Source organism: Homo sapiens, chromosome 3 (genome assembly GCF_000001405.40).
Source record: "Homo sapiens chromosome 3, GRCh38.p14 Primary Assembly".
Taxonomy (NCBI): domain Eukaryota; kingdom Metazoa; phylum Chordata; class Mammalia; order Primates; family Hominidae; genus Homo; species Homo sapiens.
In genome coordinates this window covers 175,100,134-175,117,456 of record NC_000003.12, presented here as the reverse complement: position 1 = coordinate 175,117,456, position 17,323 = coordinate 175,100,134, and the positions used below count along the sequence as shown (strand labels likewise).

General features: G+C 35.1%; 1 protein-coding gene and 1 long non-coding RNA gene across 23 annotated transcripts in view; one reads left to right on the top strand and one right to left on the bottom strand.

Annotated features, from left to right (window-relative positions):
• The window catches only part of NAALADL2 (N-acetylated alpha-linked acidic dipeptidase like 2), a 1,369,567-nt gene that overhangs the window by 693,092 nt on the left and 659,152 nt on the right, over positions 1 to 17,323 (bottom strand). The window contains exon 2 of one of the 22 annotated variants that reach the window (XM_017006083.2): positions 15,990 to 16,166. The exons of the other annotated variants lie outside the window; for them this stretch is intronic. The gene's annotated coding sequence lies outside the window, so the exon portion shown is untranslated. The remainder of the gene's footprint in view (positions 1 to 15,989; positions 16,167 to 17,323) is intronic. 22 annotated transcript variants of the gene reach the window in all.
• Positions 2,215 to 17,323, top strand: part of NAALADL2-AS3 (NAALADL2 antisense RNA 3) — a 35,931-nt gene continuing 20,822 nt past the window's right edge. Inside the window, exons 1-2 of the long non-coding RNA NR_046390.1 lie at positions 2,215 to 2,276; positions 4,866 to 4,913. This is a non-coding gene — a long non-coding RNA (NAALADL2 antisense RNA 3). The remainder of the gene's footprint in view (positions 2,277 to 4,865; positions 4,914 to 17,323) is intronic.

Sequence of the window (17,323 nt, the reverse complement as noted above, 5' to 3'; positions counted from 1 at the left end):
TATCCTTTGCCCACTTTTTGATGAGGTTGTTTGATTTTTTCTGGTAAATTTGTTTAAATTCTTTCTAGATTCTGGATATTAGTCCTTTGTCAGATGGGTAGATTGTAAAAATTTTCTCCCATTCTTTAGATTGCCTGTTCACTCTGATGGTGGTTTCTTTTGCTGTGCAGAAGCTCTTTAGTTTAATTAGATCCCATTTGTCAATTTTGGCTTTTGTTGCCATTGCTTTTGGTTTTTTAGACATGAAGTCCTTGCCCATGCCTATGTCCTGAATGGTGTTGCCTAGGTTTTATTCTAGGGTTTTTATGGTTTTAGGTCTAATATTTAAGTCTTTAGTTCATCTTGAATTAATTTTTGTACAAGGTGTAAGGAAGGGATCCAGTTTCAGCTTTCTACGTATGGCTAGCCAATTTTCCCAGCACCATTTATTAAATAGGGAATCCTTTCCCCATTTCTTGTTTTTGTCAGGTTTGTCAAATATCAGATGGTTGTAGATGTGTGGTGTTATTTCCAAGGGCCTTATTCTGATCCATTCTTCAATATCTCTGTTTTGGTACCAGGACCATGCTGTTTTAGTTATTGTGGCCTTGTAGTATAGTTTGAAGTCAGGTAGTGTGATGCCTCCAGCTTTGTTCTTTTGGCTTAGGGTTGTCTTGGCAACGCAGGCTCTTTTTTGGTTCCATATGGACTTTAAAGTTTTTGGTTTTTTTGTTGTTGTTGTGGTTTTGTTTTTCCAATTCTGTGAAGAAAGTCATTGGTAGCTTGATGGGGATGGCATTGAATCCATAAATTACATTGGGCAGTATGGCCATTTTCACAATATTGATTCCTCCTATCCATGAGCATGGAATGTTTTTCCATTTGTTTGTGTCCTCTTTTATTTTGTTGAGCAGTGGTTTGTAGTGCTCCTTGAAGAGGTCCTTCACATCCCTTGTAAGTTGGATTCCTAGGTATTTTATTCTCTTTGAAGCAATTGTGAATGGGAGTTCACTCATGATTTGGCTCTCTGTTTGTCTGTTATTGGTGTATAGGAATGCTTGTGTTTTTTGCACATTGATTTTGTATCCTGAGACTTTGCTGAATTTGCTTATCAGCATAAGGAAATTTTGGGCTAAGATGATGGGGTTTTCTAAATATATAATCATGTCATCTGCAAACAGGGATAATTTGACTTCCTCTTTTCCTAATTGAATATCCTTTATTTCTTTCTCTTGCCTCATTGCCCTGGCCAGAACTTCCAACACTATGTTGAATAGGAGTGGTGAGAGAGGGCATCCCTGTCTTGTGCCAGTTTTCAAAGGGAATGCTTCCAGTTTTTGCCCATTCAGTATGATATTGGCTGTGGGTTTGTCATAACTAGCTCTTATTAGTTTGAGACACGTCCCATCAATACCTAGTTTATTGAGTTTTTTGCATGAAGGCTGTTGAATTTTGTCGAAGGCCTTTTCTGCATCTAGTGAGATAAACATGTGGTTTTTGTCTTTGGTTCAGTTTACAAGATGGATTACATTTATTGATTTGCATATGTTGAACCAGCCTTGCATCCCAGGGATGAAGCCAACTTGATTGTGGTGGATAAGCTTTTTGATGTGCTGCTGGATTCGGTTTGCCAGCATTTTATTGAGGATTTTTGCATCGATGTTCATCAGGGATATTGGTCTAAAATTCTCCTTTTTCCCCTGAATGCGCTCGATCTCATCTGATGAAATTTTTAAATCTGACTTGAGAGAAGCAAAATAAGGAAATATCCTATCCAAGCAGAAATACCATTCATTACTTCCTCCTCATCTAATGGCCTTGAGAGTTTCACAACCCATATGCCTAGCAAATACTTTCTAAGTGGCTTCTTAACCCATCAAAATATAGAAGAAATTTACATTTGCTGCTTAATAGCATTCTCTTTTACACAAACATTATACTTGTAAATTGGGTAAGAAAGTATTATTAGGATACACGTTATCTGCTATTTGCAAATACTCAGAGTTTTACATGTGACTTGTGAAAGTATTTTATTAGTGTCTTTTATTAAAAGAAATTAAGTTTATATATATGCTAATTGTCATGTGCCTCAGAGAGATTTTGATGGCAACATGTCAAGAAACTGTAACTAACCTTTGTGACATCAATAATGGAGTTTGATTGAAAAAAAAATCACAAGCATAACAAATCAATGCTCACAATAAAGAAGTAAGTTATGTTTGACTGTTTGCTGGGCCTATGACAGACAAGGCAAGCTCTACTCTCAGAAGCAAAAATTATATATCTAGGAGTCAGAGGTAATTTTAAGAACTATGAAGAAATATGTATTTATTTCTGAAAATATAAGTCTAATATGTAAAAAATATGACAGGTTAAGTAGGTTGATAGGCATATTTTATCATTTAGTCTGTGACATTTTAACATCTTTATCGTTCATTTAAAAACAAGTTTATAAGTGCTTCAGTTTCAGATATTTATTTTAGTTTACCATACATATCTAGGAAAGGACCCAGATTAGTTAAACCAGTAATGTAATTCGTAAAGAGAAAACAAAACTATAAAGTTTTCTTTTGTGATTTGCTTTGGCCAAAGTGAATTACTATAGCCAATATACGTCATCTTAGAAACTTTTCTCCTTGCTTTTATACTGTAATGAGTCTAAGCCTCCCATTCCACAAACAAGCACTATGTAATAAATAATGTCTCAATCTTCATATTGCAGGCATAATTTTCACTCTAAGATTTTCTAAGTCCCAATGTATTACTGTGACATTTGAACCATGGCTAAAAGGTTTAGGTTCTAGAGCATATCCTAGAATATCCATTTAGTTTTAATAGTCTGCCTCAATATTTTTAATTGCCACTTGGTGATTAGTAATGCCTCGTCAGAGTATCATAAGGAATAGCTAGTTTTGCAGTGCTCTAAGTAACTCTAAGAAAAGTAAAACACTTATATGTTTAGCATACATTTAGAAAATAATTATGTATTTAGGACAATAAAAGATATAATAGGGTTACTTTAGCGTAATAATACACATTCCCCACAGCCTAAAGTGGGTACCTTATAGCAGAAATCTTAATTCCATCTATTAGTATTCTCTATCCCTGCCAGATGGTCTCAGGTTTTTTCTCAGGTTGGGTTTGATTTATTAGAGTTATTTTTGCTGTAATGCTAAACCCAAGTGTTAACAATCAATACTGCCACATCCACGTGATTTAATAGTCCTCCAATGAGAATTCTTCTCTTTCTCCAGAGGGCATTTTGTCTATACCTGCATTAGTACAATTATGACTGTCAGCTTCCTCTATGGTGGTATATTTTCCTCTCTATCCTTCACTAAGGCTTTCAGCTCTTTGAAACCAGACTGTACTATATTCCTCTGATACCTCCACTCCTACTTCCTAACAAATGGTACTTGCATGAAGCCGATATTAAATACATTTAAGGAAATTACTAAGACCTGACAAACTTGAGACAAAGTAACACTTGATTCTTTGTGAGACTCTTTCACTTTTTTGCACATCCTGTGAGCAGAGGCACAAACTACCTTTCTTCAAGACTATCTTTCCAAGACTGTGTATGTAACAAACAGCCTTGAAAAACAGAGACAGCGTTTTCTCCAGAGAAAACTTTGGGTTTGTTTACGATTTTGAAAAGATGAATATAGTATCTCCCTCAAGGGCAATAGGCAGGCATGCTTATTGTCCAGCATAAAAAAAATTGGGGATCCTTAAGCACAAGTTTCCTCTCCTGTTATAAAACCACTGCATGTTCAGGGTCCAACTAGCCTCTTTTCATCACTTGTTGGAAATGGGGATCAAAACAGTATTGCAAACATGATTCTTACGCTGCTTGCTCTTCTGTGATAAACTCTCTGTCATCTTTGACCCAGGGGTCTCATGTCTCCTGCAACTATCCAAGAAACTATGGCAAGCTAACTTGTTAGCTGGGTAGCTCGGTAAAATATGGGACCTTTCAAAGACATTGATAGAATCTTAGCAAGAAAAACTGACACAGATGCTGTTATTCTAAAACCTAAGAATTTTAGTTTTAATCAAAATTGGGCAGGAGATTTTGATTAAAATCTAAAAGCAGTTTTGTGTACTGTGCCTCTCATTTTGGCATCTGTCTTTCTGTCTGCACCTCTGCACAGATGCTCTACCAGCACATACCTCACTGACCATACATTTGATGAATATTTATGAAGTGGCTACTACGAAAGGGACACCTGTAACCAGCTCTGCAACGTCCTTCTTGTTTTTATTCTCTAATCTATCATTTAGAGAGTTACCCTGTCTGATCTTATAATTTTCCTACTCAGAATCTTTTGCTGATTTCTCATGGTATTCAGAACCAAATTCTAACCATCACCTTTTCTCCAAAACTTTCCATGAAATTATCCTAATCTACTTCTGAAAGCTGATATTTTACAAACTAATCTTTTGTCAAAAAAGGCACACTCACAACAACCCTAATTTACTTTTCTGTGCTTTCTTACCTCCATGTCTTTGTTCAACCTTTCCTGAAGTCATGTCTCATATCTATATATTAATGTATCTAAAGCATTCATAGCCTTCAGTGCCCATCTTTTCTGGAAAGTGTAACAGACTCTACCCTATCAGAATTTATATGCTTCTCTCCTACAATCTTTGCGCTGATGTCATTATGCCTATATTACAGTTATTTAGACATTTATGTAACTCTCATATGACCGTATGTTCCTAAAGGATCTATCCATCTTTGTATTTACTAAATTTTACATGTAATAGAATGCCATGTACAGAGTAGGCATTCAATATGTTTTAATTCAACTAAATTATTAATAATTCTGTAACTGGAAATTGCCATCTCTATGTAACATCTGGATGTTTATGTGTCTTTATAGTATGAATCAAGAAGAATGGACTTCTGCTTCTTATCTACCTAATGCCAGGTAGGAACTATCTAGCTAATGTCATGACAGAGGAGTATAACTCAGTAGGCTGGCTGAATTACCCCTAAATATGTGTTGGGACCTAAAGTATTTGGACTTACTTATAAAGCAGAATAAAAATTTACTTTACAAATATAAAAGTATTATCTTAGTTGTCATCAAAATTTTTAGAGAGAGAACTTTACTCAGGAAAATACTTGGAATATGGAGCATGAGACCCTAATAGTATGACTTGGAAGAGACAGGAAAAATATATTAACAAGAATTTGGGGAAAAGAATGTAAAGTTGAGAGGAGGCGGGAGACACCAAGAAGAGACATGGGCTGGGCAACACTCCAAGAAGCACATCTACTAAGGATGGTGGTCAATGAGGAATCACCAATGGAGAATGGCTGAAGACCTTTTATTAACAAAAATAATGTAATCATAAATAGCAGGTAATATTGTTTACTATGTGTCAGGTTCTCATCTAAACCTTATTTATGTATTTATGCATTTATTTAAAGATGGGACCATTATTAGCTATATATTAAAAATGAGGAAACTGTGTCATTGTAAATTTAAGAATGTTGTTCAAGATCATCCACTACATTAGCTGGATGTAATGGAGTTGGGATTTGATCCCAGGCAGACCAGTTTCAAGTCTGTTTCCAAATTGGTTGTGTTGCTGTGATATAAATTCCCCCGATTTCAAGTCTTCACAATAACATGAAATGCCCGTACCAAAATATAGTACTGGCACTACAGGGAATATGAATATATGTGGAATGACCCTAATTTTCCCTTTCCTGACTGTCTGACTAGAGAAGGCAGCAGCATTGGATCAAGTGAAACCTAAGTCTAAACATCCTAGGAAGTGAGCTGTGCTAAGGGCATGTGTAGACCACCGCTGAAGTCTGAGCCTTTGCTTTAGGGTACAACTAACTCAGGAGCAAATGAAAACCATTTTTCAAATTTTGTTTCTTTTATTTTCCTAAAAATTATGTCAGTAGCTATCTGAAAAAGATCGTAAGTTGATATCTAGGTTACCATTGTAGCTCCTGAGTTGGTATTTCAGCAATAGTTCTAGGTGCATATTCCTATTTCCCAGAACTCTGGAGAATTTCAGAAACACTAAACATAAATACTCCTATGACAGAGTTATATTAATACCCAAAAACATTCTGTGTAACCTCTATTAAACACTGAGTGTACAGCTTAAGTACAGATTCTGGAAAGTCCTGGGCAACTTTCCAAGGTCAAGGGAGATCTAGAAGTGTGTTTGATTTTCTGCTAAGTGTTGTAGCTCTTTTTGGATTCCAATCCACATTATTACTTCATTTTCCAGACCCAGACTTAGGTTGGATAAATATTCCGTAGAGCAAAGAATCATCTTCTTCCCCGCACCTGGACATAGCTCCACACAGGATATGGGAGGTGACCTCTCAGATTTGAATAGCTGAATAGTCATTTCTCAACTGCACTGTTGTTGACTCTTTCTCCCATTAGCTTACAGGGTAGCCTTTTTTCTTCCCTTCTTCTAAGAATTTTCTAAACTAGACACTAGAGTAATGTTGTGATCCTAGATCACTTTCTAATCCAGGTGCACTTATTCCAGGAACCCTCTGGAACCATCAGGCAGAAAAAATAAAAACAACTTTAATTCATTTTCTTTCTCTTGTCATTCATCTTGTTTCTTTGACCCCAAATTGTTACCCAGATTTACTAAACGTTTTTGGTCATCCTGTGTTATTTTCACATATTTTTTCTTGAACCAATCAGCAAATTATTTTCTAAGTGACATTTTCCGCAATCCCCAAATTTATCTTTCTGCTTATAGGTTATTGTAGTAATATCAGTACTCTTTGTTATTCAATTTGCTCTGATTCCCAAACAGAAAAATAATTTTATTCCTGAAATGAAAATTACTATCAGCAATCATTATCTTTTCTGCATTCATGATTACCACAGAAGTACCACTCTGTCAATTCTGAGAACACACTGAGTGTTATCAAATCCTCTGGCCCAACTTCTTCCCTCTTTGGCCATAAGTTGTCAAAAGGGCAACTGAAAAGGCTACAGCAGAATGCCTTCCCAAAACCCTGTCCCTATACATACGAAGGGCTGAAATTGCAGTATAAATTGATGTTAGGAAAATTGATGTTAACATCTTTGTTTAATTTCCATGTCTGTAAATGAATTTTTCTCACTAATATGGCCTGTATTTTTTAAAAGTTAACATACACCACTGGTCATCATATCATAATTGTATATAATTAGCAAAGTTCAACTAATTTAAATGATTGCAACTGATTAAAATGAAATGAAGAAATCAAGAATCCAGGATTAACGTATCATCCTTAACTTGCTTCTTTTAGAATAGGACTGAAGAATCAGAAATACATTTCTCTTATTATTCGTACCATAAGAGTTCTGTATGTAATGTGAAATTTATGGGAAAAATGCCCCAAAACACAATAACTGAAAGCGATGAGGCAATCCTTAGAAGTGAGGCTATTTTGAGAAGAAAAGTAGAACTTTAAATAAATTACTGTACTTTCAATATTTTTAAAGAGAGAGGTAGGAATGGAGCAGTGATGCTTGTTTGGAAAAGTAAAATTCCACATGGAATGTTACAAATGAATAGAAATTCAGCAACAGGGGAGAACGTAGCACCATATGCTCCTCCCCTGCCCTTTCTGCTGACCTGCTCTTTACGAGTGGGTTCGTTTGTTTTGTTATTGTTTGTAAATATGATGACCAAAACCAAATAAATTAGTAAAGAAACAGTTCTATGGCATTCTGCAAAGTTAAGAGGTGGGGCAGGCTCTGACAACCAGTTAGTTGCTGGGTAATGCTAGAATCTCTGAAGAGGCAAAGAGGGGCTGATCCACCCTCATAGAGCACAGTAAGTGTTCGTTTGAAGTTGAACTGACCACTGCATCCCAAATAATCACCTAGATACCTTTGTAAACTATATTCCTTCCCTCTTTCTTTCCCTCCCTCTCTTCTTTCTTTCCTTCCTTCATTCCTACTACAATGTGTGATTTTGTGTCATTATATTTTGTTTATATAAACAAGTATGTTCCTATTGTCTAGGTGTGGCCAATGGGAACATAAACACCATAAATGCAGGTATCTTGCATATTTTATTCACTGCTTTGTCTGTAGTACCTAGCTCAGTACCCATCACTCACTAGGACCTCAATAAATATTTGTTAACATGAATAAATACACTTGCATTAAAAGAGACCTTTAATGCATCTTGCGATGATAGGCTATCAGGTGTTACTTTTAAATTGGAATATAAATTTGATTAAGAACAGCATAAATCATTAAATTAGAAAGCTGAGGTGTCTACTTTCCCCCATAACAGTTTATAGCTTTGACCTTGATTCTAACTCCCTTGCACTGTTCTACATAGACAATTTGCTTATGTTTGTATGCGATTTTAATTATTTGATTGAAATATAATTTAAAAATTAAACAATCGAAAACAGATCTTATAGGAATTTGTTCTCTACTTAAAATAAGAAAGTGGAGGAAAGGCTTAGATCTGGACCACATGTTATACCCAGCAGCAATTGACTCAGATCTAGCTATGGCACAAACAGGATGAAGAAAAAAAATCTGCCCATGCCACCCCCAAGAGAAAAACCTTCAGAAAAACCACAAGAAATAACAGCTTATAAAAACCTGACACAATTTTTCTTGGCTGTCCCAATGGAATAGAATAAATATTTGTCTATCTTTGCTCTTTGCCCACATGAAATAGCAAGGCATATTTTGAAATATCCAGTTTAATTAAAATATACCTTTCAGATAAGCCTAAGGAAGTTATAATAAGGGAATATCTGATGTGTTTCATCAAGTTACAAAAATTATCAGGCTAATAAATTAGAGCTTTTAAATCTATGTAGCAGCTTGAAATACAATATTGGTACAAGCTGATCTTACAAGTTTTTCCCTACAGAATAGAGTTAATATGATGAAACCGACCAAAGAAATAGAGAGAAAACACCCACACTTGTTTTATTTTTCTTGAAGGTAAAATCACCTGCACACATTTCTGTTCAAAGAAAAATGATCAGTTTCATTTTATTCTCACAGATACAAATGTACTCCATAGAATTGGAACTGCTTCTTTTGTTTCTTGTTCTATGAGAATTAGATTTGCACATTTCAGGACATGTTAAGGTGCTCTCTGTGATTTAGATAGTTTATAAAAAGGTAATTTGATCTCAAATCATAGTTTTCTTTCTTTATTTCTAATACTGAAAGCTGCATACCCTTCTGAGAAGTGAGCCATGAGAGGAAGACATTAGCTTGCCTTGTATTAGATAATAAAAAAGTTCCACAGGGGACAAGTTACATATTATGACATTGTGTATATAAGGCTCATTTGGATTTAATTCATTACTACATCATGTTGCACAGGAAAGCAATTTTTAAGCAATAGAAGGGCACTTCATTTGTAAAAGACCCAGATATAACATACAATCAGTTACTGAAGACAGAAACTGATTTCCCAAATCAGGCATATAAAATTTAATATATTTTCTCCAGTTATAATGAAAGGAAAGAGAACTTCAATACCATTTTTTTTATAGATAAGAATGATACTTTGTGAAATTTGGAAAGTGAATTTTTGCTTGGGGAGTTGATTACATTTTGATGCCACAAACTGAATAAGTTGAAGAAAATGATTAAGCATTTTTAGTAATATATTTGAAGTATTTGTTAGATACATAGAATTTCAAATTCTATGCTTTCATAGACTTAATATTACCACATTAAAAAAAATCTGAAATTTTTTAATGAAATAAATATAATAATGAACATTGGTAATTTCTAAAAATTTCAATATCAATTTTTCATATTATTAGTTAAACCCTAAGGACTGACTAAATTATTCTAGAATTTTACAACTGCAACCATTTTACATTGGTTTATTTCAGTTATATAAATCTGTATGTATAAAACAGGGTTCTCCTGAGAAACAGAACGTATAGGATGTGTGTGTGTGTGTTTGTGTGTGTGTGTGTGTGTGTGTATGTGTGTGTTCGTGCTTGTGTATGAAAAGAGCTAGATTGGTTTATTTTAAAGAGTTGACTCACACAATTGTGAATGTTTGGCAAGTCAAAAATCTGCAAGGTGGCTAGCAGGCTAAAGACCCAGGGAAGAACACAGCTTGAGTCCAAAGGCAGTCTGCTGGTTGAATTACTTCTTTTCTGGGAAGGACAGTCTTTCCCTATTAAAGCTTGCAATGGATTGGATGAGCCTTACCCACATTATGGATGGTAATCAGCTTTATTCCAAGCCTACTAATTTATATCTCAATCTCATCTTAAAAATGCCTTCACAGAAACATCTAAAATAATATTTGACCAAACATTTGATACCATGTATTAGCCTAGTTGCTACATAAAATTAAACATTACACTGGTTATACAAGCATCTACAATTTGCAAAAATAAAATTACCTATCCATTCAGTGATAGTTTCCCAGGATGGGGACAGTAGAGTGAGGGTGTTCATCACCTGTTTTTGGTACCTAAATTGCCCAGCAACTTTACTTTCTCTCTCGTTAGCTAGAAATATCCATTGGAAAAATTTTTAAGTGACTACAATATTTAATTGATTCGATACTTTTGCATAAATAATCTATTTTAAAATGTATTTTAATTTAAATGTTCCCCTGTAAATCACTCCTATGAGATTATGGAATTAATGGTTTTAGATGAAATTCTCAAATATCTTGCTTAATTTCTAAAGCATGGATTAGGATTTTCAAATTGCAAATTTCAAAGGACCACGTCTGCCACTTGAATCTTGATTTCATTGACATTAAACAGGAACGTGAAAGAGAGAAGCATACAAACAGTTCTCAACTTTTCCATGTTTAACTTACACCGCACTCTACTGAATGTGATCATTACCAACTTTTCTATAGCATGAGTGTCAGGAAGTCAAATGAATCCACAGGAAATTGACATACCTGATTCTCAAAGTAAAACATTTGTTATTCCCTTGTACTACAACTGACTGATCCTGTTCCTTTTTTGGAACGAATAAGATCAAGAAGTGGATGGATGGAAAAGCATATTATAGTCAATGCAGGAAAAAGATACAAGAAAAATGTGACTAGCTCTAAAGTTGATCAATTTTCAGAATAGGCAGCCAGTATCACAGATGATCCTGATATATCTGATGGAAATAGTTCATTGACAGTAGAAGATAATCACTGCAATTATGTAAAATAGATCCCGCTAATTAATACAACATAAATTAGAAAAATTAATGGTTCCAACATTTTGATCCTTAACACTCTAACTTAGTCCTGATGCTTTACATCAGATAGACTTAATAAAAAAGATGAAGAAAAGGACATTTGCTTACTAGGAAAGTAACTAACCTAATCTCAGTTTGTAACCAAATGGATAAAATAATTTGTGTGCATGTGTGAATGCACAGGGGCTGAGGAGAAGAGAGATGGAATCCTTTGAACTTGACCATTAAGAGTAAGAAAGCAAACCTTTAGGCAGAAATGGCCCAGACTGAGACAACCTCTTCCTGAAGCTGAAACTAACAGGATAAAAAAAGACCTGTGAGGGGATCCACTTTGCACCTCCTGAAAACTTGTGATCATGGAAATACCTTTTGTGAAATCTTTATTTTCATTTTTTCTTTATAGAAAAATAATGCTCTCAAGATTAAACAGAATGTCATTAAAAACTATAGAGTGACTAGCCAAGTGCCTGGAATATAGTAGACATCCAGCTCACCTTTATGTAAGAGAAAAAAATCTTCTATCTTCAAAATCAACTTTTTTAGTACATGCTATGAGTACATAGATAAAATTTGTTTAAAAATCAAAGGGATGTGTGTGTGTGTGTGTGTGTGTGTGTGTGTGTGTGTGTGTCTGTGTGTATTCTCAAATATCTTGCTTAATTTCTAAAGCATGGATTAGGATTTGTGTATGTGTGTGTGTATGAATATATAAATATATATAAATCTATATATAAATATATGAATGTATAAAATATGAATTTATATATAAATATACACACACATACATACATAGCCATTTATATATATGTGAATCATATATATGTATGATTAAAATTTCAATAAGAGGTATAAATAACCAGAAGTATACATTATTTTCATTTTCAAAAAAAGTGATAATCCTCATGGACATGAAGCCTTATCAAGAAGATCTGTACTCTGGTTCATTTTCTCAGGCAGTAAAGACTTACTGAGAGCCTACATGCTGTTTAAACTCTGCCAGACCCATAGTTCTTTCTCCACTGTGAAACAGAAAGTGATTCATGCCAACAAAATGGGAGGAAATGAAGTACTGTGGGTTGCAAAGGCAAATAGAGAATTCAGCTGATGGGATATCAATGAGATTTCCATGAAGGAGTGGGCACCTGAGCCAGATCTCAAACAGTATTTTACAGTATTTTAACAGGTTAAGATGGAGAAAGTTATTGCAGTCAAAGGCCCCACTGTCAACAATCTTTATTCTTCCCATTGGTGGGTGCTGCTTTAGCCAAATACCTAAGGATTGCGAGGGGCATAAGCTTGGATCTGTGAGTTGAATCCAGTTAATACAATTAATGTCATTCTGCATAACACTGAGAAACTCCGAGTTAAGGAGTTGCCTTACTTAAGGTTCAGAGCAATGAAACACTATGCATAATTAAATCAATCTTATCCTATGTATTCCTTTTCTGATTAAACTTCAGACAATGTACATTTGTTATCTGGAGAGATCAACGATAGGATAGCTAATTACTTCCTTTAGGAGCCATCACTCTATTACTGTTAAATTCATTCTGTTATCGTTTGCATACACTGAATTATGTGCATGCATTTACATGTTTTTCTCTAATTAAAATAGCAGTTGCTTTATTGCTTTCTTCATGTCTCCCAATCTTCCTACTCTCATTCATTTTAATACTGAAATTAGAGAGGGACAAAAAACATGAAGAATAGAGAAGACAAAGTACAAAAAATAATAATAATAGGAACAACAATAATGTGAAGAGGGGCCAAAAAAATGGTTGGAAAGTAAGGCTGGAGACTAGAAGAGAACAGTTGCTGATGACATCACCATCATCAAACAACAGCAACATCTTATGTTTGTACAAAAGCATGTCAGTGAAAAATATATTCTTGTGGGGTCAGAGGAGAGACAAACCACTATTTCATATTAGCCTTTCTAGTGCCCTGATAACCATAAAAACACTCTGTGGTTCTTCATGGATTCCACAGCCAGTTTACCTATAGGTAAGGACTACCTCGCCTCCCTCATTTAAGACTGGAGGTAATGTATAAGTCGTCAGCTGTCTTGAACAGGAAACTTGCTCAATTATACATTCTTTGGTAAATGAAGTGCAGTGGTTCTTGAATGGAAGGAAGTTAACATGGGTGGCAGGTGTGGAAAGGGAGAGATTAAAAAAATGAGAAAACTGTTTGCACAGGAAAGACACCAATACTGTAACAAGTAAACAAACCTAATGTCTGAGTTAAAAGAAGGGGACAGGAAAGCAGCCCAGGTGCTTATTTTCTTATATCACGGGATGGTAAATTAGTACTGGTGAGAAAGACATAGGTGAAAAAGTAAATTATATATATTTTGTTTCTAGGTAGATTGGACAGAGATTTTCTCCTTTCAGCAGATCAATTTTGTCAGGAAAGACCATAAAAACATACTAAATGTTAAAATGAAGGGTTCTAAGATTTTGAACTCTTTGGCATTACAGAGTGGTCATAAGTTGTGTTTCTTGCTGTTGATAGTTGTCCCGGTTAAATTATGGAATTTATCTTTCCAGAAAAGAAAAATTCATCCCTATAAGTTAAATGAACTTATTTGTATCTTTTGATCCATCATAGCTATATCATAGGATAAGAATGGAAAATCCTCTCTTGTGTACTTCTGATCAATTAATAAGGGCTTTCAAGAATGTTGGGTGGAGAAGGATTCTGAGGCAAGGTCTGAGTACAATGATAAAGAGTGCTATGATTAATGGACATGGAGCATGACACAGGAAGTGGCAGTATATATGCAGTAAATTTGTCATTCCTTTAGTTTAATGTCATTAAAGCCAGATAACCTAAACAAATAGTGTCAATGGTAAAGTTTAATTAGTACTACAGAATGTACCACCCATATTACACATAAGATAACTAAATATACTATTTAGTTGCTGAAAGGGAGTAATGGAGGAGGAAGAGGAGACAGAAGGAAGAGAAAAGGGAGAAGATCATTTGTAAAAGTACATTGAGAAGAACAGAAAACAAACGAGACTTAGGAATCAATTTCAATGTATTATATTAAGTAATTACTAAAATATGCCTATATCTGAAGCAGCATTTTAACTAGGTTTCCAGACAAGATGTTATTCATCATGGTATTGTTGAAGATAATTTAAAACTTTTTTTTTTTTTTTGAGACGGAGTCTCGCTCTGCCGTTTGGCTGGAATGCAGTGGTGGATCTCGGCTCACTGCAACCTCCGCCTCCTGGGTTCAAGCAATTCTCCCGCCTTAGCCTCCCAAGTGGCTGGGACTACAGGCCCATGCCACCATGCCCGGGTAATTTTTGTATTTTTTAATAGAGACCGGGTTTCACCATGTTGGCCAGGATGGTCTCAATCTCTTGACCTCGTGATCTGCCTGCTTTGTCCTCCCAAAGTGCTGGGATTACAGGCATGAACCACCGTGCCTGGCCAATTTATAACATTTTCTAAATGTTTTGAAGAGTTAACCCTCAGCTAAGAAAATATGGTCTTTTATATTGCTTATAAAGATCATTTCACAGTATAAATTAACTCATGCTTGCTTAGTTGTATCAATGATAAAAAATATTGCCCTGTCCAAATAATGCAAACACTTAAAAATAGATACATCTCTAGAGATTGTATTTTATTATTTATTCATTTTATTTGTGAAGTCAGAAAATAAAATGTGTCTAGTAAGAGAAATCCAAAGAGATGGCGTACCATACATACTGTGATTGACTGCTTTACTATTATGACATTTTAGTTTCTGAACCTTTAAATACCATGGGAAAGAACCAATAAAAGCCATGGGGAAACTCCTTTAAAAAGTAATTCATACATGAAAAATGAAATGCACGTGGTCAATTCATAGGGAAAACCTTTATCAACATTCTTTTTGGCCTATCAAAAACAAATAAAAAATAAGGACCTGGAAGGCTGGAGGTTCTGCAAGACCATTTGGTGACACAAAGCAAACAACTACACAAATTGGAACTCCTTGAAGCTGTGATTTGTTTCCAGGAATTCATCAGAAGGGAATAATTAAATAGGCACAATTGGATTTATGTACAAGAATGTTTACAGAGGGAACCTAAAGGTCCCTGTATAAGAAATAGGTTAAATTACATGACATCCATATAATGGAATACCAGGCAGTATTTTATGTAGTGATTTAAATCTATATTTATTGGCTTGAAAAGTGATTCTAATATTTTAATTTAAAAAATTCTAAAGCAGGTGTTAAAGAAATATACATGGCCTAATACAATTTTCTGATTGATAGGGAATGATAGAAGGAAATAACAAGGATTTCTAAAAAGAGGTAGGATTATGGATGGTTTTTACTTTATTCTTTATAATTTTCTGTACATATTGCACTTATAATTAGAAAGAACCATAATGATCTTTCCATTAAGAAGAGGAAATTATATTAGCCATAATTAGAAAACAACACATTTTCTCCTTTTTGTCTCACCATTTCACAGCATCGACAGCTGTCAAAGGCAAACACATTCCTGCCTTCAAAAATAAACTAAACCTCATTAATTTATCCATTCAAATATCTTATTATTACAATATTATATTTTCAAACTATGTTTTGAAGTTTTCAACATACTTAATCTGCTCAGAAATTTGCTTATGATCTTCAGAATTTATTAGGTTGATGCAAAAGTAATTGCGGCTTTTGCCATTACTTTCGATGGCAAAACAGCAATTATATATGTGTGTGTATATGTCATTTCTTTAAATAAAAAATACATTATTAGAGGCTTGGTGGATTTATTATATAATAGAAATGAAACATTGTACCTGTGACATTCAAGCTTCTTCTAAGTTAAAGAGCTTTCTCAACCGTCCTAGGTAAACATGGTTTATACAAGATAACCAGCATCTCAACTGGCTTAAGCTGATTAGATTAGGGACAAGCACTTGACAGAGAGTCACGAACATCTTTGGTCCACAAAAGGATAATAATGACATTTCATCCTGGAGAATAGGAATAGAAGAATAGTGTATTGGAGAATATAGCAATTAGCATTAGGAAAAGATGCAAATATAAAAACAAAAGCTAGAATAAATTGCAAAAGGATTAAATCACTTTGGTGATCAACACTTCAATGCAAATCAGAGAATGTGTTTACTCAGGATGAATTCTCAGCTGAAATTTTTTCCGGTGTGTGCTCTGTGTGTTTTTTGGAGACTCATTTATTCTACAACTGGAGACTTCTCATTTTCCTTTGACATGAGTACTAATATACCCTCCTCCAGCTCCTGCTTACAACCCCCAGGCCTCTGAACACACCTCAAGCTTCTCCCCTCTCCAAGCCTCCTGCCCTCTCCCTCTCAACCCAGATAGAATCCATTGAAATATGATTTGCCGTACGCCACCTAAAACAACTACCTCTTTTTCTGCAATTTTTTTTTTTTTTTTTTTTTTTGAGACAGAGTCTCACATTGTTGCCTAGGCTGGAGTGCAATGGCTCAATCTCAGCTCACTGAAACCTCCGCCTCCCGAGTTCAAGCGATTCTCCCTGCCTCAGCCTCCCAAGCAACTGGGATTATAGGTGCCCAACACCATGCCCAGCTAATTTTTGTATTTTTAGTAGAGACGGAGTTTCGCCATGTTGGCCAGGCTGGTCTTGAACTCCTGACCTCAGGTGATCCGCCCTCCTTGGCCTCCCAAACTGCTGGGATTACAGGCATTACCCACTGCCCCTGGCCTTCTTTTGCACTTTTATCAGCAACTAGCTTGTGAATCTCTTATCACTTAGATATGGCAGGTAGGAGGCTGGATTCTCTGAATGAGAAAGATATCAAGTTATTCCAAGTAGTTTTGCCACCCCTACATCTTCCAAATAGTTTTGTTAAACTTTTTCCACTGGATTTGAGGCTTCTTTCTTGAGAAGAGACCGGGACGTATAGCACATCAGCAGCTTTTTCAAAAATGCTTCACTTTCTCCATTCTCCCTAGCTTTTGCTTCTCCAACCTCTCATAAGCCAAAAATGGATAATCATCTCTGGGGCCATACTCTCATTTTTTTCAAGCTTTACATGCTACATGTTGGTCTTAGAAATGTAGCATCAATTGTCTTTATGCCTCAACTGGAACTGAAGCATCAGTAGTGATACTTTAATATTTTTAC